This window comes from Homo sapiens, chromosome 4 (assembly GCF_000001405.40).
Source record: "Homo sapiens chromosome 4, GRCh38.p14 Primary Assembly".
NCBI classification, from domain to species: domain Eukaryota; kingdom Metazoa; phylum Chordata; class Mammalia; order Primates; family Hominidae; genus Homo; species Homo sapiens.
The window spans coordinates 5,120,279-5,142,229 of record NC_000004.12 but is presented as its reverse complement, the minus strand read 5'-3'; the positions used below and the strand labels follow the sequence as shown (position 1 = coordinate 5,142,229).

Sequence of the window (21,951 nt, the reverse complement as noted above, 5' to 3'; positions counted from 1 at the left end):
ACCATCTACCCCATAAGAGGATGAGTTTCTGGTCAGTAGGGATCACTTCTTACTCAACTTTGCTCCCCAAGCAGCAAGCACAAGGATAGTTAGTGTATTGGACATTCCCAAGGGCACTTTTCTGTGCCCACCCAAACTATCCTCCTGCCCTTCTCTACCGGAAGAGCTCGTCTCCCAGCTACAGGCTGAAGATGGAAGATGCTTCCCTCAGTAGGAAGCAGTGGTCATGTGACCAATTATAGCCAATAAAACGGGTTGGTTGGGGAGGTTCCAGGGGGGAAGTCCTTCTCTAACAAAGTCACAGAAGTGAGGAGCAGTTGTGTGAAGATGTGATACACAGAACTCGGCAACCTCTAAACCATTAGATAGGAAACCTGAGGAGAAAATCTCATCCCACTGAGGAAGGTGGAGGGGGTGGGTGAAAAGTGTCCAGACCTGTGATGACATCAGACAGCCTCTGAGCTACTGCAGAGACCCCCTATACCTATGGACCACTTGATTTGGTGACATTTTCAAAATATATCCAAAATCTGACTATTTCTCACCACCCCCAGCACTGCCATGTGCCCCAGGCCACCACCTCCTCTCCCCACAGGGCTCCCCGCTGCTGCTGTGGCCCCTCCCAGGCTATTCTCCACATGGTAGCCAAAGTGAACTTCTATGAACTTCTACAAACAGATCATGCAACTCCTCCCCCAGAAACCCCCAAGCCTTCTCTTCCCACTCTGTGAAATGGCCAAAGCCTTTACCACATGGAAGAAGTCCTCTAAGACCTGGGCCTCGCCGACTTCACTGACCTCACCTTGCACCACTCCCATTGCCTGGAAGCCCCTCAAAGACACAGAGCACACTCCCTTCCGTGGGATTTGCACTTGAAGTTCCCTCTGCCTGGAACTTGCCTGTCTTCCTCCTTTGCTTCCTTCAGGTCTCTGCTCACATGTCATGCTATTATCAAGGACGTCCCTGACACCCTGTATGAGAGCACTGTCCTGCAGAACCATCTATGATATGGAAATGCGTCATAACCTGAGCTTCCAATACAGTAGCCACTGGCTACACGTGGCTACTGAGCACTTAAAATGCAGCTAGTGTGCTGTGGAACTGAATTGTTACCATTTTACTTAATGTTAATTAATTCAAATTTAAATATCCACATGTGGTTAGTGGCTACCCTATTGATAGCTCAGCTCTACAAAACAGCAACTTCTCCCTGCTACTCTCCCATAACTCCATATTCCCCTTACCTTACTGTATTTTAATGTACTTATCATTATCTAATGTACCATAAAGGTATACAATTATCTGTTTCGCATCTCTCTCATTTTTTAAATATAAGCACTATGAGAAAAGACACTTGGATCTGTTTTGGTTACTACTGATCAACAGAGTCTAAAATAGTGCCTGGTACAGAGTTTGCATGCAATTAGTATGCATGGATTGGATCAATAAAACTAGGCAAGGAGGGAGGGAGGGAGGTTGTCTGGGTCTATCCAACTTCTTAAGTCACATGCCTCAGTTTAGCTCTATGAGTTTTAAATAGTCTAATCAACAGTATGGGCTGCTGAAACAGCAGGTTCCTGGTCAGCCTTCAGCTCAAATCCCAGTTTTGACACTTCCCGCCTATGTGGCCAAGGGTAACCTGCTCCATCTTTCTGAGTTACAGAGACTATGTTTCACATCTAAGCTTTTCCATCTGTAAAATGGAAATAACAATAGATGTGAAAAAAACATAACAGAATATCTCTGGCATTCAATAGGTACTCAAAGCAATTATTGCCAAAAAAAAAAATTTCTGAGTATGTGGGAACAGACTGGAGCTTGACTGGGGGGAGTATTTTTGTTTTCTAAAAACTCCTGCCATCTTCTCCTAGCCTTCTATACCTTTTCAAAAAAAATAGTCAAAGATCACAAATATGAACTTACCAAAACAACAAACGTCTATGTTGCTGGAAAGAGCTGCCTTTGTGATGTTTATGGGTTTTTTTTCAACTTTCCTCACTTAGATTCTCAAGGAACAAACGGCATTGGCAATCCTGAAATAAATACCATTGTAATTCACCTAAACCAGGGCTGTTGTGGTAATTTAATTTCCAGAAGAAAATTACACCAGATCGCAAGGAAACTATTCAGACTTCCTTTCACATTTCAAGTTTGTCAAGTCGAAATCTTACTGTCAAACAGAACATTCCCAGTGCCCAGCAACCAACACACAGACACACAAATATACACACATACTTAAGCCCAGTGGTCCAGACATTTATATTCTTACCTTTCCAAAACTCCCTTTACCAATGGCCCGCAGAATCTGAAAATGGTCAAAGTTGACTGCAAAAGAAAACAAAAAAGGAAACAAGTCAGATTTGCTAAACCTGGTATTGCTCCTTGAATATCCTTACCTATGTACCTACCCACCTATTCCAAAGGCTCTTGGGTCAGGTGCACTATACTTGCCAGAGCAGCCGTCCACCCTTATCCACAGGGGAATTTGCAGCACATTCCATTTTTTCCCCAGCACACAAATTGTCCATCTGAAGCCTTCCCTTCACTCCACACTTCTTGATGAGGCTCTGCAGTCTTGCTGCTTCACTCTCTACCCCACTTCTGCCTGGCTTCTACATGTTTCCCTACACCAAGACAGGTCAACAATGTACGGCCTTGCCAGTAAATCCCATGGACATCCTCCCCTCCTTTGACTTGTTCACTCTCTCAATTCTCCCCTTCATGCTTCACTTCCTTCTGCACACTCAGCCTTGTCCTCCCAGGCATTAAACACTAGAGTCTGTCAAGCCTTTTGTCCTACAACTGTTCTCTTGTCATGGGCTCCAAAGGCTGCAATGACCACCTAATTGGCAGTGGCTCTCCAAGGTGTCTCTAGCCTTGGCTGTATGTGTCAATGCCTGCCCTCAGGTCCTCATGGAGGTTCCAAAGCCACCATGAACTCAACAGATCCAAAGCAGAATGCAGGATGAGTGGTCTCAACGTTCACTGGTCCTATATGTGCAAAACCTGGGACTCATCCTTGACTCCTTTCTCCCCTTACCCCACATCCGGTCTTTCATCAGGTAGCTCCATGTTGTCTCTGCACAGTGTCTCACACCTGTCTACCCCTATGGCCACTGCTCTGGTCTAATCCACCATCTTCTGTCTCCTGGACCACTATGGTGGCCTCCCAACATCCTCACCTGACTCTTCCACTCAGGAAAATGTGTGAGGAGCCGAGTGATCTTGCTTGTCCTCTGCTTCCTCCCCTCCGATGTCCCCTCCATTGCTCTCAGTGGAAAAAGGAAATCCTTCCCCAGGGCTGCAGGGCTCCAGCTGCTTCTCCTGCCTCCCTTCCCTGCTCACTCCCATCACCTACTGAATGCCAGACACGTGAGAGCAGCTACTCCCAGGCCTTGAGTGCTCTCCTCCTTGCCCTACCCTTGTTCTCTCTACATCCTCAGAAGGCTTCCCTCACCCTCCAGACTACGTCTGGCTCCCTACGATACATTCTCATGGCACTGTGGAACTTTCCCCAAAATACATCGCTTTGTGTAATTTTACCTTTGTATATTTCATTAAGTTCACTTTTCCCTACTAGACTCTAAGCTCCCTGAGTTCAAGGGCCATGTTTATTTTTTTCTGTTGTACCCTTAGCACTCAGCACAGTGTTTAGTACACAGTTACTGTTCAATAAATATTCATTAACAGGAGGAATGACTGAATGAACTAATCTCCATATTCATAGTGCCAAACACAACTCCTGGTACATAATAAGTGTTTGGTAAATATTTTTGAATTAGATTGAATTACAGCCAGTTTCCAATAACTAGAAAAGATATGTTATTTACAAAAAAAAAAATGAAGTGAATTGATTAGTTCACCACATAATGGAAGCAAGGATGTGAGGAAGTAAATGAATACAATTAGTTCCTTGTATATTAAACTTATGCAATGGAGGATAATTATGCTGAGTTGTGTCCCTGCCAAGCCAAAGTCAGAATCCAGCGTGAGGTCGAATGCCTAACGTGCTTAGAATAGAGAGACGGAGTTAATGGTTAACTTACTAAAACCTTGGTTCTTTGATTTAGATTTATTTCCTTTCAGGATAACTTGCCAAGAAAGAGATTTCATATTTTCACTTCTTACTCATTCACCAAAGATCAGAGAAGAGGGAAAAAAAGCAATGAGCTTGGACTGCAGCTTGTTATGTAACCAGCAGCATGCTAGGAAATGCACATGTCCTGTCGAGAAACTCCCGAGGTCCCCACGGGGCAGGTACCACTGTCGGGTCCTCAAATCAGCAATGAACATCACGGGTTCCCTGAATAGCACCATATCTTCATGCTGCTGTTTCCCTTGCCTGCAAGACCATTTCTCCAACACACCTTATTTTGGGAAAAACTTTTCATTGGCCTTTGACACGCAGCTCATGCACTTGCTCTCTTGGGAAGCTTTTCCCCAACCCCCAACTAACCATTTTTTTCCTTAGAGTTAACTCTGAACCTTCTGTAGACATCTAACAGTTTGGGAGGACATTCCCTGGAGCCAGTCTGCTCAGGTCCACAATACAGCTCTATTCAGTCAGTCTGTCATTAGCGGCATCATTTAGCCTCTGTGTGCCTCAGTTATCTCATTTGTAAAATAGGGAAAATGGGGCCTACATTCCATAAAGAGCTCAGAATCATGCCTGGCACACTACAACCTTTCAAAAAGTGCTAGCTCTGTGTTGGGGGTGAGGAGCAATTCCCCTCCCTCTTTTCTGGTTTCTTCCAGTTGGGATACCTTACACATCCGTGGCCTCTTGCCCCATCCAAGGTGGTGCAAGTTATCCGAGTGATGAACTGGAAAAGGAATGGCACCAGCATACTGATGCTCACTGTGCCCTCTCTGTGGAGTCTGACTTTAGGGAGTGGCCTCTCTTCTGCTCCTTCTTGCCAGAAGCTTTTCAGGACCAGCTGCCATGAGGAGAGGTCTGTGGGGTCCAGATTGAGCATTGGCCAGGTGGGAAAGTCCAGCTAATTCTAGGCTTCAGCATTAGGGAGTGCATGATTACTGCCTTCCTGAGTTACATTCCTTGGCCACAGCTTTATCGCTGTAGAGGTGAGACTTGGTTCTCTATCAACCTCCTCCTCTGTCATGTCTCCTAACTGGAGGGAGGTGTTAATTACTGAATAAATGGTCAAATGCCAAAAGCCATTATTACTTTAATAATTAGTGTTATAACATTGTAAATATTCCCACTCACCCATGTCATCCATATCCCCTACAAAATTGTGGGCTCCTTTGGGGAAACTAACAATGTATGGGGCAAAAAGGCACTTAATGAATGCTTGTCTGCTTCTTGGACTAGATTGGATGTAGATGACTTTGAGCACACGGCCTGTGGTTCCTATTTATTTGGCATCTCCCTGGGGTGTACTACACTGACACTGACATAATAGCACCTAAAAGAAGACACTTTGAATAAGTGAAAAGTTAACACTTGGTTGATGAACAGATTAAAATGGCTTCAGTCAATGAAAATGCCAAGCCAATAATGGGTCCTAGAATCATACTGTCACGTGAGGTTGTTTGCTCAGAGTAGGAAGAATTGGCTGGGGGGTGTGAGAGGGTTGAAGAGTGGTTTCTTTGGGTGACCATCTTGTCCTGGTTTCCTTGGAATCTTCCTGGTTTTAGTACGGGAAGTTCTGCATCCTTGAAAACTACCCAGTCTGGGGAAAACCAGTTTGGCACCCTTGGTTTCTGAACAGGAACCCATTCCATCTGAGGAAGCCACAAGCACTGCTTGGGCTAGCAGAGTGATCGGATTGGAGGTGAAGTACATTCTTGAAAAGTGGTATCTCACCACCAGACTCTTAGAGCTGCAAAGGGTTACACCGCTAAAAGTGTACCACTAGGGTAGAAATGGGAAACGCACTGCTGCAAAGGCAAAGGAGTGTCAGTGTCCTTGCCAAAAACACAAGGACAGTGGCACCTGCCTTGCCAGGCATCATGAAGACAATGGAACAACACATTGGCGGCATTATTTGCTCAGCCAGGCTCAATTCTCCCTTCTTTCTTGATAACAAAAACCCAGCTCTCCTTAGGGATCACTGTGGCCAGCCCCAGGCAATGAATGATAATCCCCAATAGTCATAATTGATCAAATCCAGTGGCGTTTTCAGAATCACCTGGAACCTTGTTAAGAGATCAGTGTGTACCACCTCCTGAATTCACCTCCTGAATTTCTAAGGAGGCATTAGAGAATTTGCATTTCTAAGAAGTTTCTAGGTGGTGCTGATGGTTCTGGGACTGCACTTTGGGAACTACCGATCTAATTAATCCGGACAATTGTGTTCCCCACTTTTCCAGCCACTGTGCAGCCAGCAGTGACCTTGTGATCCAGATCTAATCAATGAGATCTAATCAATGAGATGGAGACATTTTTGGGAAAGCATTTTTTGTGTATGTGAGGAAAGGGGCACACTGAGCTGGAGTAGCCCTTCCACTCTACCACTTCTTCCTGCCTTCAATGTGGACGTGATATCTGGAGCTGCAACAACCATCTTGTGACTATAAAGCCAAAAACATGAGCAAAGGATCAAGACAGATGCAGGGAAGCCACTCCTTCCTGTGAGCCTCTGAACACAGGCCAGCAACCACTTACCTTGGGACTTAATATATTAGGAAAAATAACAAAACAATTTTATTTGTTCAGTGGGTCAGGTTGTCTATTACTAGAAGCTAGAAACATTCTTTTCTGATACTCAAAGCCAGGCACATAGCAGCGGCTTAGTAAATGCTAACTATTTTATTGTTAAATTTCCAGCCCCACTGTCATTTTACTAAGAGGCCAAAGAACAAGAGTTATTTGGGACAACAACATAGGAGCCAGGCTGCCTGGATTTGGATTCTCACTCCAACACTCAGTGGCTGTGGCTGGGTGATGTTGGGGAAGTCACTCAGGCTCTCTGTGCATCAGCCTCCACACCTATATAATGGGTAAAATACAACACCTACCTCATAGTGTTGTACATGGTATCTTAATTAATAAAGGTTAAGCATTTAGGTATTGCTATGAATATTATTCTATGTTAGTGGCTTTTCCTCATATTTCACCCTTGTGATACAACACTGGTCTGATTAAATCATGACAAAATATTCCACGACTGATAAATCTGGAAGTGTATTAGTGCTAATTAGTTATTGATGGTGATTGATCACACTGGGTAAATCTGGTTGTCCTACTTTACATGCCAGTGGGCTCTTTTCTCATTTCCACTAGACCAGTTATTTCTAATGAATTTCATAGCACGCTTTCAACATTGCAATATTCATGAAGCTGTTTATTCAAACAGCCAAGAGTGAACTTTCAAGATGGCTAGTAACTCTTTCAAACAATCTCTAATGGAAAGTAAACCACAGTCCACATCCTGTACAAACACATGCATTTAAGCACTGTGGGCATCAAGCAAGAAAAGTAAGCAAACATCCCGTTCCTGCCCTCCTAAAAACCTGAAACCTGCGGCTCATTCCTTGCAGAGTTGGTGCTGGGCACAAGTTTGCACATGGGTGGGTCATGCGTGTGTTTAGTCTGGCTAGTCCAATGATTAAAATTGTTTTGAATAAGTTACAGTATTTAAAAATTAGACAATGTCACCCCCAAATCCTGGTTTCTGATATGCCTTAGTCTGTTTTGTGTTGCTATCACAGAATGCCACAGACTGGGTAATTTATTTATTTTTAATTATTTTTTCACAGTTCTGGAGGCTAAGAAGTCCAAAATTAAGGTGCTGGCATCTGATGAGGGCCTTCTTTCTGCATCATCCCACAGAGGAAGGGCAGGAGAGCGCAAGATAACAAAGGAGCAAGAGGGGGCTAAGCTTGCTTTTGTAATTCACTCTTGTGATAACTAATCTACTCCCATGATAATGACAGCAGTCCCTTCATAAGGGCAGAGATTTCATGGCCTAATCACCTTTTATTAGGCCTCTCCTCTCAACACTGTTTCATTAGAAATTTAGTTTCCAACACATAAACTTTGGGGAACACGTTAAAACCGCAAGAAATTGGAAGATTTGCCAAAAAAATCTGGGCCTGCGATGCCCTTCCACAATATTCTCTGATTCACCACTGTCACACCTGGCCCAGTTTATGCATCTCTGTTTCCTGCCTGATTCTGTAAGCATCTGAGGTATGGGTCATTGGGCTGCAGCAGAGAGAGGTCCTATCTGTTGATGGGGAGAGAGTCAGGCCATGGATGAAAAGGAGGGTTTGGTGTTCCCTGGACAAAGGTTTAAACAAAGTTTTAAACCCAGCCCCACTATTTGAGTCAGTGTGAACCTGAGGACGTAAGTTAACTTCCAAGCCTTGATTTTCCATTTAATAAAATGGAGGTAGTGATGCCTGCATCCCCAAGTCAGGATGACGGCCATAGACAGTGACGTAGCAAAAGGGCAACTCAGTAAACAGAAGCCACTGAAGAGTGGCCACCCAATCCCCTGGTCCAGCCATGGGCCTTCAACCTAGTCACTTAACATCTCAGAATCTCAGTTTCTTCATCTGTACAATGAGCTAACATCTCTCTAAGATTTTTCTTGGAATAAGACTATTATATAATCAGCATATAATGATGGCGATTATTTCTGAGTTTGTCTCTCCTTAGTACAGAAATAATCCAGGTAACCAGATGACCCCTTAACAAAGAGCCACAGTCTTGTTCATTGCTGAATCCAGGTGCCAGGCAGGTAGTGCTGTGTTAAGTACTCACTCAAGATAATGACATATATGCATGAATGAATGACCTACATTGAGTAGTGGGAGTATGGGTAGGGAGCTCTCTGAGGGAGTGGGAAATGAGATCACCCTCTCTACAGGAAATTGTTGATGTTTACACAGAAAGGGGGCTGACCAAGCTGTGGCAGGCATCTATCATGAAAAGCTTCCATTAGTCACTCATTCAAAAAATATTTTGGGGAGAATAAATACATTTTTACTGAGTGGGTATACACTTGTTGAAATGATGACTGAGTATATGTTGCCTTCCAGGCCCTCTACTACGTACCGGGAACCAACAGTGAACAAAACACACAATGAACCTACAACAGGGGAGCTGACCTTCTGGTGCAAGGAGACAAATCTGCAATTCAATGGCAGAAAGTGGTAAATTCTGGCCAGGTACAGTGGCTCATGCCTGTAATCCCAGCACTGTGGGAGGCTGAGGCAGGTGGATCACTTGAGGTCAGGGGTTCCAGCCAGCCTAGCCAACATGGCAAAACCCCATCTCTCCTAAAAATACAAAAATTAGCCAGGAGTGGTGGTGCATGCCTGTAATCCCAGCTACTTGGGAGGCTGAGGCAGAAGAATCACCTGAACCCAGAAGGCAGAGGTTGCAGTGAGCCAAGATCACACGACTGCACTCCACTCCAGCCTGGGTAACAGAGCAAGACTCTGTCCCAAAAAAAAAAAAAAGTGGTAAATTCTATGAATGAAAGTAAATCCAGGTGTATGAATTTCCAGGTGCTGCTATAACAAATGGCCATATACTTGGTAGGTTAAATAATATCAATTTATTATCTTACAGTCCTGGAAGTCTCCCTGGGCTGAAATCCTGCTGTCAGCAGGACTGTGTTTCTTCTGGAAGATCTTGGGGAAAATCTGTCTGCTTGTCTTTTCAGCTTCCAGAGGTGTCACATTCCTCAGCTTGTGATCCCATATTACTGCGACTTCTGCTTTGGTTGTCACATCTTCTCTCACCCTTATGCATCCCCTTTTATTTATTTTTTATTTTAGGTTCCGGGTGCAAGTTCAGGTTTGTTACTTAGGTAAACTGCATGTCACAGGGCATTGGTGTATAGATTATGTCATCACCCAGGTAGTAAGCATAGTTCCTAATAGGTAGCTTTTTGATCCTCTCCCTCCACCCAGTGTTTGTTGTTCCCCTCTTTATGTCCATGTGTTTTTATTGTTCAGCTCCCACTTATAAGTGATACCCAAAGAAATATAAATCATACTATAAAGACATATGCACACAAATGTCCACTGCAGCACTATTCACAATAGCAAAGACCTAGAACCAACCTAAATGTCTATCAACAATAGACTGGATAAAGAAAATATGGTACATATACACCAAGGAATACTACACAGCCATAAAAAGAGGAAGATCATGTTCTTTGCAGCAAGATGGATGGAGCTGGAGGCCATTACCCCATGCAAACTAACACAGGAACAGAAAACCAAATGCCTCCCTCTTATGAGGACTCTGATTACATTAAAGGCTACCTGTACAATCCAGGATGCTCTCCCCCATCTCAAATCCTTCAGTTAATCTCATCTAAAAAGTCCCTTTTGCCATGTAATGTATACAGATTCCAACATTTAAGACACAGTTATATTTGAGGAGCAGTTATTCTTCCTTCTACATCAGGTAAGGTGATAGTGATTGTGTTGGGGGCAGGAGCTGCAATTTTAGACAGGGTGGTCAGGGCAAGCCTTTCTAAAAAGAGGATAATAGAGCAGATCCATAAATAAAGTGACAGAAGATGCCATGCTGATATGAGGAGGATGGTTATTTCAGGCAGAGAGAACAGCATGTGCAAAGGCCCTTGGCAAAAAACATGCATGACAGTCCCCAGGAGCAGCAGGCAGGCAAGGATGGCTGGACTGCTGTGTAGGAAGGAGAGAAAGTGGGAAAGCCAGGGTCAGAGGAGAGGTCATGAGCTGGCCATGCAGGGCTTCACAGGCTGGGGTAAGGGCTCTAGGAAGTTTTTCAAACATGATGAGAAAGTACTACAGGGTTCTGAGGAGGAGAACGAAAAATATGGTCTGTTGATGTTTGTTTAAGCTGTTTGGAAATATTCAAACTTCAATCAAAGCATCTTAGATGTAATCAGGTGGAGATAAAATTGCCACATGACGGTAACTAGGGAAGCAGGATCTCAGTGATTGTACAGCGATCTCAGCCTGCCTGACGAAAGCTGATTGAAAAGATGGGGTGAGTGGTCAGACATCAGCCTGGAAAAGGGGGAGGCAGAGCAAGCCCTTAGTGCTGGTGCAGCCTGTGCACACGTGGGAAGCAGTGAAAGGGGCATTCTCATTACTGGATTTAGGTCTGTTCTCCTCAAATTTTCTGAGTTCCCTGATAGGAGTAGAGGACTTCAGATGTGATGGCTCTGCTCCCAAGGATCCTCTGCCTAGCAGAGGCATGCCCAGGTCCTGGCAGACATCAAAAGGGGGTGACGGGTGCAGCGGCAGAGTCAGGCACAAGGTCAGGGAGAAGAATCCACTCCATCCTCTTGGGACCATCAGGGAAAGTTTTGAAAAGCACAAGACACTGAGCATATACATGAGGAATAACAAAAATTTCCCAGGGGATGAGAAGAAGAAAGGATTTCAGGAAAATCTTCAACAGTGGCATGAAATAGCAAGATGAGTTCCAGGAACAGCAAGACAGAAGTATGAGTGGAAGGGATGAGTGGGGCAGGGTGGAGGAAGGATTAACCCACTGGATTGGTAGACATTTCCTCAGGCAGGAATGGGTCAGGCCTCAGCAGCGCCTTAAAAAACCATTGCTCAAGCGGCCTCACCTCCCTTTGTTTACCAAGTTGCTCTCCAATGCCTGATTTGGCCTCCCAGGGACTTCAGGTTTTGGAAAGGGGTTATTTTGGACAACAGATTAGACCACTGCAGTTCTCAGGAAGGTGTCCTCTTGGTGTGAACCTATTGGTTCCAGGGTGCTGAGTTTGTTCACAGGTCCAAGGCCAAGAGATTACTTTCTTTGCCTTTTGCCTACCTTCTCAAAGCCGACAGCCCAAGCCCGGTTTGGATTCTTCAGTAGCATGGCATTGTGCATGAAATAAGATCCATGCTCCTCACCATGGCCTAGAAGAACCCAGTCACCCCTCCCGCCAAACCTCCCCACCGTCACTCTCCTTGCTCTCACCACAGTGTGTTTCAGCCACCCATGGCTCCTGGCTGTGCCTCACAGCCCAGGCACTCTACTATCATAGAGCCTTTGCCCTGCTGTCCCTCTGCCTGGAACGCCTGGTCATGGTGCCCCAGTGCTGACTCCTTCCCATCCCCCAGGCCTCCCCCCGCCGGAGAAGGTGAGAGGTCTTCCCTCACCACCCTATTTGGGTCACCTCCCTTGGTACTCCCTACCTCACTGCCGTTTCTTTTGTATTTTTTATTTCTGTTTTAGGAATTGTCATGATCAGAAATATTTGTTGTCCTCCTACTGACTTGTTTATTGTCTGCACCTCTCCTTTGGGATGTCAACTCCTTGAGGACTGAGTTTTGCCTGTTTCATTCATTTCAGCATCCCAAGCACCTAGAACAGTGCCTGGCATATAATAGGCACTCAATAAATATTTACTGAATAAAAAAAGAAAGAACAAGTGAATGAATAAATATTGAATGGGAGAAATCCAAAGGAGTGCTGGCTGTACACATTTGCAATGAGAGGGTCACTTCTGCCTAGGGAGTTAAGGATATCTTCAGGAAGTATCTCACCATAGTCATTGATAAAATAGGCACAATGATACCTACTTCTTAGGGTTGTTAAGGTGATTAATGCGGTAAGGTACTAAAGGTTGAGGCACACAAGAGATATGTCAGTTCCTCTCAAGTTCGTGTTCACATTTAACATAATTATAATCAAGGTTGTTCCCCAAAATTGACAAAATTATTCTTAGGAGAATAAATAGGTGAGAATAGGTCAAATGTTCTGCCAAATAAGTTTTGAAGAGAAAAGTTTCATCCTACCAGATATAAGAATACATAGTTTATTCATTCAACAAATAGTCATTGCACAGGATAAGACGCCTACAATGAACAAGAGAGACAAAACCTCTAGTGATGTGTATTCTACCAGAAACCTAGTCACAAAAATGTCCACCAGAGCTTGAGGAAGGTGGAGGGAAGAAAACAGCTTTGGACGTTAACAGACCTAGGTTGGACTCCAATAAAGAAGAGAAGAGTTATTCAGTGAGCAGGGCAAGAACTGGCTAGCTACTGGGGAAAAATATAATAAAATAAAATGAATGTCTCTCCTTTCACTAGACTCCAAAGTAAATTCCTGAGTGGATTGGAGTTACTTGTAACAACATAAAAGCCATAAAGCTCACTGCCTAACATGAAAAGCATTCAATAAATATCAGTCTCTTGCCTTCCCCATAACTTATGGACATGACTATTTAGGTGTGCGATTTTGCCTCTCAGCAGATAATCTATTAGTTCAAGGCCACAGTCTCACAGGCTACACAAGGGCTGGAATCGACAGCTCTCCAGGCAATACACACTGAGAAACTACGTGTATGTCCTTTGCTTCAAATGCTGAAGGTGACGTTTTACCCCAGAAATTCCAACTGCACCCTGTTCACAGGTCAATACTAACATTCATGGCTCTGATTAGAGCAGTCTGCACACAGCTTCCCTTTCTCACCTCATTCACATTCATATCCTGAGCCGGTAGCAGCCAGAGAGAGATTCAGCTCCTGGCCAGTATCCATTCTGGCTGGCCAGGGCCAGTAGCCGATCAGTTGTTCAGAAGAGACTTTTCCTCCACTCCCTGTTTACTCCCCATGTGCCTGAGGCACTGCCTGGTACGAAGTAGACAGCCAGTATTTGCTAAGCTGAGCTGCAACCACCTCTTGTTGCCTCATTAAAAACTGCTTTGCTTTCTAGTTGATTAATGTGTTTTGTAAAGCCTTAAAACCTCTTTTTACCCCTCGCTCCACACTCTTACCAGCAAAAACACTGAATCTATAAGCACTCAGGAAATCATATGCCTAATTCATACAGGAAAATATTACACAGCAAAAACCTCAGGACAGAAGATAATTTGGATGCTGGTGGAAATGTGGAATTCAGGACAAGAAAAGAATCAAACACATGTTTGAGAGACAATAAGAATTAAACTATCGATTCCTCGAAAGCAAACACCGCCTTATGCATACCTCCTTCCTGCATTCCCAATGTATACGTTTCCTAGGACAGTTGTAACAAGCTACCACCAATTACATGGCTTAAAACAACAGAAATTCATTGCCTCACAGTTCTGGAGGCCAGAAGTCCAAAGGGAAGGTGTCCTCAGGACCATGCTCCCTGTGAAGGTGCTAGGGGAGGATCTGTCCTTGTCTCTTCTGGCTTCTGGGAGTTGCCAGCTGTATTAGTCTGTTTTCACGCTGCTAATAAACATATACCTGACACTGGGTAATTTATAAAGGAAAGAAGTTTAACTGACTCACAGTCCCACATGGCTGGGGAGGCCTCACAATCATGGTGGAAGGTGACTGAGGAGCAAAGTCACATCTTATATGGTAACAGGCAAGAGAGCTCGTGTAGGGGAACTCTCCTTTATAAAACCATCAGATCTCGTGAGACTTATTTACTATCACGAGAACAGCTGGGAAAAACCCACCCCCATGATTCAATTACCTCCCACGAGGTCCCTACCACGACACGTGGGAAGTATGGGAGCTATAATTCAAGATGCGATTTGGGTGGGAACACAGCCAAACCATATCATCAGCCATCCTTGGCCTTCCCTGACTTGCAGCTGCATGGCTCCAACCTCTGCCTCTGTCCTCACATGGCCTTCCCCTTTATGTGTCTGTCTCTGTTTTCTCTTCTTATAAGGCCATTCTAAATCCAGGATTTTATCTCAAGTTGCTTAACTACTTACATATACAAAGACCCTATTTCCAAATATGGTCGCATTCTGAGGTTCTGGGCGGGCATAATTTTGAGAGAATTGCTCACCCAAAACAGCACCTGACATGAATAAGAGGTTCAATAAATGATGACTGGATGTAACTGAATGAGCCACATCTGTGCCACCGATGAAGAATCAGGGCAATTAATTCTGTCAATTCACCACAGCCCCAAACTCTTCCCTCTGCCCTCTGCACTCAAGAGCTGCCTGGTTATCAGACCCTCACACCAGGTGAACCTCACCAGGAAAGATTTTGTCCCAGCAGTCAGTTGTTTAAGTACTTAATGTGGTTAATATCCATTCCACACAACGAGGACATTTAAATTTTCTGGGACGCTCAACTGTATGGCAGCTAATGGAAGATGTTTGCTTATGTTTAACGGAAAGATAAGTAAAAATGTAATCATTGGCATCAAGATCCTAGCTTGTTTATTCTCGTCTGGTTAAGTTCCCTTCACGGCTCATGAATAAAGCACTTAGGCAGCACCAATGTCCATGGCACCTTTATCTCAGCATTGAGCATTCTGAGCATTATGTGAGTAATGCTGTCATCTGTGCAAAAGGAGAGGGAATAGACAGTATCCCAACTATTACCTATCACCACTCCCCTTTCTGCTGCTCAGTATTGAACTGAAAAATATCAGTAGACTCTAAACCACAAATTAGGTCCCAGACCCTGTATTATTCATTCCCTAAAAAAATCAGGAAATTGATAACTGGGTTATCAGTAGAAATGGCCATGTTTTAGATATTACAGAGCTGCCCGTCGAATCATTTGTTGAGAGATAGGCGGCCTTTACAGGTGATATAGTCATGTTACTTTCTATTCACCTGATTTGTCCTAAGTTGCACTGCTGAGGGTTGGTTTAAGAAGTAACTAAAGCTATCTCACCTGGCGCTGTCAGCTCTGATTCTACTCTACCAGAATGAAGAGCTAAATGACAAAATGATGTTTCCAAAATATCTTTTTATTTCTACAACTCCAACATACACAGGTGCTCATCTACTTTGCCATGGGAAGATGCCCAGGCAGCACTAGACAGTGAGACACTGGGCAGTGTGAGTAGCACAGCTGTCCTGGCGAAGACACCCTAGACTATCTGACAACCAGCCAACTCCCAGATAAGTGAGCGAGCCCAGCCACGCTCAGCAGGGCTGGCCTGCAGGGCAGTGGGGGCCTGAAGGCTTGCCGGAGTGGCTGCTAAGTAGTATTACCGACAAGGAGGTGGAGAGAACAAGGGAGGGATGGAGGGAGAGAAGAAAAATGACAAGAAGGGATGGAGATAAAGGGCACAAGGACTATCCTAAGAGGAGCTGGGAATTTTAGCTACAGGAGAACTAAAACAATTTTAACAAAGAAGTGGAGGACCCACTCTATCCAATAGTAAGGCCTTCTCTGTAGCTCCAGTACTCAAGACTGGGTGGTATGAGAAGACAAACAGACATATGGAGGAATGGAACATAATGGAGAACCCAGACCCACATGATGTGCCCAACTGGCTTTTGACCGAGGTGTAGAAGCAATTCAGTGGAGGGAGGATGGCTTCTCAACAAATGGTGCCAGGGCAACTGGACAATCACAGGCCAAAGTGAAGCTCAACCTAGGTTGAGGCAAGGGCCTCCGGTAGATCTGATGGGGGCAGATCACTGAACAATTCTCCTAGATGGGAATAAGAGGCAGCCCCTTCGTGGGGGTCTGTGGGAGAGGGAGGTCCACAGGAGGCAGAGTTACAAATGCAGTGAAGTCACTGGGTTTGAAGCAAGGAGTTGGGGAGTAGCTATTTTCACTGTGAAGGAGGAAGCAGACCTCTTGATGAAAGCAGAAGCAGATAGAAAGTGAGAGAACAGAGGTGCGGGGATGAGAGTAGAGAGGAAAACCAGGGAGACGTGTCCCAGATGACCCTGGAGCCCAGACATATGCATTTGGCCCAGTAGCTTCCAAAAGCCAACAGTGGGTGCAGCAGCAGGCTCAGCCTGCTGGGCATCTCCCTGCATCGCTGGCCTCAGGCCAAGTAAGGCTGCTCTGGTCCACCACGCCCACCCACACCAGGTGCTGCTGCAGCTGCCCCCATGACTCTGCCTGAATCCCTTGATTCCTGTCTCTAACCATAAGCTGCTCAGGGAGGGGGGCTGGAGGGACCTATTGCATTAATTTCTACATTCTCAGTTCCTAGCCCGAGGCCACACATAGGAAAGCTTTGTATTAGTTTTCTATGCTACAAAATAAATGATCAAAAATTCAGCAGCTCTCAGCAACACGCATTTACTAACTCACTGTTCTGTAGGTCAGAAACCTGAGCAGGATCAACAGGGTTCTCTGTTTAAGGTATCAGAAGACCAACATCAAGGTGTTGACCAAGCTGCTCTTGTTGGACATCTGGGGAAGAATCTGCTTCCCAGATCATTAAGATAATTAGCAGGATTCCGTTCCCTGCAGCTGTAGGACTAAGGTCCCTGTGTCTTTGCTGGTTGTGAGCTGGGAGTCTTCTCAGCACCTAGAGGCTTGTCTAGTATACTGCAACAAATCCCTCTTCCGCTTCAAATCTACCTTACTTTCCTTTCTGCTAATAGTTGAAGAATTCTGTCTGCTTTGAGAGAGTTCCTGTCATTAGATTAGGTCCACTTGCATAATATCCTCTTCACAATGTAATGGAACATAACCCAGGAGTAAGATTGGAGGGGAAGGTTCATGACGGGCCATCTTAACATTCTGCCTCCTACAGGACCCAGTAGGTGACGAATTCTTTGTTATGAACAACCAAAGAGTAAGGATGTCCCCTAAAACACACACGTGCATCTATATGCATGCTCACACATACACACATGCATACAGGTGCATGCACACAGACATGTACACATGTGTGCACACATACACACAGTCTTGTTCCCTTAGTAGCCTAACACAAACTGGAATAATAAAATGGGAAGCCTCATTGAGACCCTTTATATCTATGACCTGTAGTGTCCCTGTAGAGTTAAGATCTTCTGTTTTTTTGTATTTCCTTTCTGACCTTCCATGAGGATGTGGCTCTATTCCAGGCCCTGAGCCAGGAACAAACCAAACTCAGTCCTGGCCACCCAAGCCCTCACTTTCTGGTGGGTTAGGAAACACTGCATGAGATGTGGGAGAAGAGAGGGACTCTCAGGAGGCAATGGGCTGGGGGCCAAGAAGGGAATGTCCACCCACCTCTAAGAGAGTCAGGGAGGCTGCAGAACTAAGAAAATGCCGATGGTTTTACAGAGAAGAGCAGAAAGCACATAGCTCTCAGCAACCCAGTGAAACCTTTTGCTCACTCGGACATCTGATGAACTTAGAACAGCCGGAGATTTCGGGACTTTTTCTCTGTGAGAGAGCAAAATTATGTAATTTGAGGGAGTGAACTCAACAAGCTGATGGGGTTTGTGATAGTTCCCCTGGCCAACAAACTGGGAGGATGCTGACATTTTGGCAAAACCAGGGCATGAGAGACCTACTTTTTGAATAGATGATATGAGAATTTACCTTACCTCTCTTCTCCTCTGCTCTAATAAAACAGAGGTCACAGGTGTGTTGTGAAAAGTAAATGAGATCACACATGAGAAGGCTAACAGGCTTTGATCAGAGCCCCACACATACTAAGTGATCAATAAAAGGCAGGAGGGAGGATGGTGAAAAGGTGAAATGACATGAGGATGAGGAGATTGATGATGGTGGTGGTGGTGGTGGTAATCATAGTTGTCATGGATCAAATTGTATCCCCCCAAAACTCATGTGCTGAATCCTAACCCCCAGTACCTCAGAATGTGACTGGATTTGCTTATGTGGTCTTTAAGGAGGTAATTAAGGTTAAATGGGTCAAAAAGGTGGGGCCCTAATCCAATATGACTGGAGTCCTTGTAAAAAGAGGTGATAAGAACACAGATGCACCCAGGGTGGCCACGTGGAGGACACAGAGGGAAGGTGGCCGTATAAAGCCAAGGAGAGAGGCCTTGGAAGAAATCAACCCTGCCCACACCTTGATCTCAGACTTGTTGCCTCCAGAACTACAAGAAATAAATGTTTGTTGTTGAAGCCCCCCAGGCTGTGACACTTTGTTACAGCAGCCCCAACAAGCAAATATGATAACAATGATGCTAGCATTGTGATTGGAAAAGCACGGGGCTGGGTGTCATCAGGACCCCGGGTTATGGACAAAAACTCCTTCAATCCTCATTTGTGCCGGCTGCATGAGGCTCCAAGGAAGATGAAGCCGGGTGCAGAGATAGCAGCCGGGAGGCATGTAGGATCCAGGCAGTGAAGAAATGGGGGAAACTTGAGAGACACATGGGAAACTGACCAGCAAGACCACGGGACACAGCCAGAGAAGTGTGGAGCAACACCTTCTGTCTCTACAGCTTGGGGCATGAGTGACACATGGACAGCAAGGCCTCAGGGAGCAGAGCCCACAGGAGAAAGAAGAACCACTCTGTGGGGAGGTGGGGAAGTTGGCTTGGGTCCTGTTGAGTTTGAGGCAGCTGTGGTGATAAAGAAGGGGACCCAGCAGTGAGAAATGAGAAAGGGAGCTGGGATTTGGGCTCCACAGCCACAGGAGGAAATGCATGAGCTGGTGCAGGTGGAGCAAATAGAGAGTCAAGGCAGGGGCTGAGGGTGGAAGAGCACCAACAGCTGAAGTAGGTGGAGAAGGGACTCAGGCAGAGAAGGGGTGCACAGAGAGCTGGGAGAGAACCAGGGAGAGTATCATGGAACCCAGGCAGGAGAGTGCAGCAAGGGAGTGGTCCAGCAAGGCCAACGCCAGATGCAGTCAGCCCAGCAACCTCAATGAGAGCCAGGACCTGCACACAGTAAGTCCTCCAAGCGTTGGCAAAGGAACAGCTGAGTGAGTAAATGAGTGAATGAGTAAATGAATGAGTGAATGAATGAATGAGTAAATGAGTGAGTGAGTGAATGAGTCAGGGAATGAATAAGTGAGTGAGTGGGTGGGTGAATGAGTGAGTGAATGAGCAAGTGAGTGAGTGAATGAGTGAGTAAAAGAATGAGTGAACGAAGGAGCAAGTGAATGAATGAGTAAATGAGTGAATGTGTGTGAATGAATGAGTGAAGGAGTTAACAACTGAATGGATAAGTGAGTGAATGAGTGAAGTAGGTTAATGAGTGAATGAATGAGTGAGTGAGTGAATGAATGAGTGAGTGAATGAATGAGTGAATGAGTGAACAAGTGCATGAATCAGTGAATGAATGAGTGAATGGGTGACTGAATTAATGAGGTAATGCATGAATGGGTGAGTGAATGGGTGAGTGAATGAATGAATGAATGAGTAAATGAGTAAATGTGAGTGAATGAGTGAATAAGCGAGTGAATGAGTAAAAGAATGAGTGAATGAGTGAGTGAAGGAGTGAAGAAGTGAATAAGTGAATGAAGGAGTGAATGAGTGTGTGAGTGAAACAGTGAATGAATGGGTGAGTAAGTGAATGAGTGAGTAAATGAGTGAGAGAATGAGTATGTGAATTAGTGAATGAATGAGCGAGTGAATGAATGAGTGAGTGAATGGGTGGACACTGTGAACACACAATCACTCTTGCATGGTTCTATGGAGGTTGATCCCTTCTGTCCCATTTCCCACTGACAGTGAGATCTGCATGGACAGGCCTGGGCTGTGTTCTCCTCAACTTTTCTGGCCCCTCACTTGTGGCTGGCAGCCAAGTGGTGCCCAGGACAAGTCTCCTGAACAGGATGATTGTCCCTGGCCTGTCCCTGGGGACAGCAGTCTCCTTAGCTGTCACAGCAAGACTGAATACAGACTTTGGTGCCAGGCAGGTCCCACTCCAGCCTCATCCCTTCCACCCACTAGGACCTGAGGCTTTGTTTCCATTTCTGTGAAGTGGAAACAATAATATCTCTTACCTTCAGAAGTCATTAACACCCAGTCCAGTACACTACCTGGTGGATCAAACCTGCTCAACAAATTATGCCTGCTGTTATCCTTTGCCCTTGGTGTTATTGCTATCATAATTGTGATTACTGCTGATAGGTCCTATTCTCATTAATATTATTATAATGACCTGATTGCACAGACAGAATTGGAGCCAGCTTTTCCTCTTTCACTAGTTTTATGATCTGTTCCCTAATCCTTAATAGAAGAATCATAACAACAGCTATATAACAGGGTCGTTGTGGGACCAAATTCTTTTAATACATGTAAAGTGCTTACAATTTGCCATTGCAAGGAAATGGAACCAACCTAAATGCCCATTGACCAAGGAGTGAATAAAGAAAATGTGGTATATATACACCATGTAATACTACTCAGCCATAGAAAGGAACAAAATGGATTTTGCAGCAACTTGGATGGAGCTGGAGGCCATTATTTGAAGTAATTCAAGAATGGAAAACCAAATATCATTTGTTCTCACCTATAAATGGGAGCTAAGCTCTGAGGATGCAAAGTCCTAAGAGTGATATAATGGACTTTGAGGAGGTTGGAAGTGGGGAGGGATAAAAGACTAGATATTGGGTAAATGACTAGATTGAATGTACACTGCTGGGGTGATGGGTGCACTAAAATCTCAGAAATCACCACTAAAGAACTTATCCATGTAACCAAAATCCACCTGTACCCCAAAAACTATTGAAACAAAAAGAAGAAATAAAACCAAATATTCTTAAACGAAAATATATTATAATTTTATAATATAATTTCTTAAATGAAGTGTTATATTATTTTATAATATATAGAAATTATGTATATTTTTCTATATGTATTTTCTCTATATATTTCATACACATATGTAAAGTGCTTAGAAAAAAGCTTGGCATCAGATACCTTTTCAATCGGTCATCAGGCTTTTAGTTGTAATTTGTCACTAACACAGGAAATCTCAAAAATTCTCATGACTACACATATCATCTCTAAACATTACATTCACTCCACAAGTATTTTGTACAGTATTTCCACCTTATCCAAGGGAGATACATTCCAAGATTCCCACTGGATGCCTGAAACTTTGGATACTACTGAATCCTATATATACTGTTTTTTTCCTATAACATACCTCCCTATGAAAAAGTTTAATTTATAAGTTAAGCACAGTAAGAAATTAACAATAACTAAATATGGAAAAATTATAACAGTATACAGTAATAAACGTTATGTGAATGCTTTCTCCCTCTTTCAAAATCTCTTCTTGTGATGCACTCCCCCTTTCCCTTCTTGTGACAATATGAGATGATAAAATGCCTACGTGATGAGATGAAGGGAAGTGAATGACGTAGGCACTGTGACAGAGCGCTAGGCTA

General features: G+C 44.4%; 1 protein-coding gene across 7 annotated transcripts in view, besides 2 other annotated features; it reads right to left on the bottom strand.

Moving 5' to 3' along the window:
- STK32B (serine/threonine kinase 32B) overlaps positions 1-21,951 on the bottom strand; it is a 481,604-nt gene that overhangs the window by 358,760 nt on the left and 100,893 nt on the right. For 4 of the 7 annotated variants that reach the window (XM_047415924.1, XM_047415925.1, NM_018401.3 and 1 more), the window contains one exon: positions 2,270-2,325. In XM_047415924.1, coding sequence (XP_047271880.1) covers positions 2,270-2,325 — 56 coding nt within the window. Of the gene's footprint in view, positions 1-1,923; positions 2,034-2,269; positions 2,326-2,412; positions 2,517-3,182; positions 3,205-21,951 lie in introns of those variants that run through there. The other 3 variants (NM_001306082.2, XM_047415926.1, XM_024454131.2) reach the window with 3 other exon arrangements.
- Positions 7,611-8,209: an enhancer, noted in NCBI's record as "OCT4-NANOG hESC enhancer chr4:5135748-5136346 (GRCh37/hg19 assembly coordinates)". NCBI's record gives its function as "activates a minimal SCP1, AML or CMV promoter by ChIP-STARR-seq in primed H9 embryonic stem cells {active_cell/tissue: H9 hESC(primed)}" and the evidence as "EXISTENCE:reporter gene assay evidence [ECO:0000049][PMID:30033119]".
- Positions 8,674-8,968: a silencer, noted in NCBI's record as "tiled region #6927; HepG2 Repressive non-DNase unmatched - State 24:Quies". NCBI's record gives its function as "represses a minimal TATA promoter and a strong SV40 promoter by Sharpr-MPRA in HepG2 cells {active_cell/tissue: HepG2}" and the evidence as "EXISTENCE:reporter gene assay evidence [ECO:0000049][PMID:27701403]".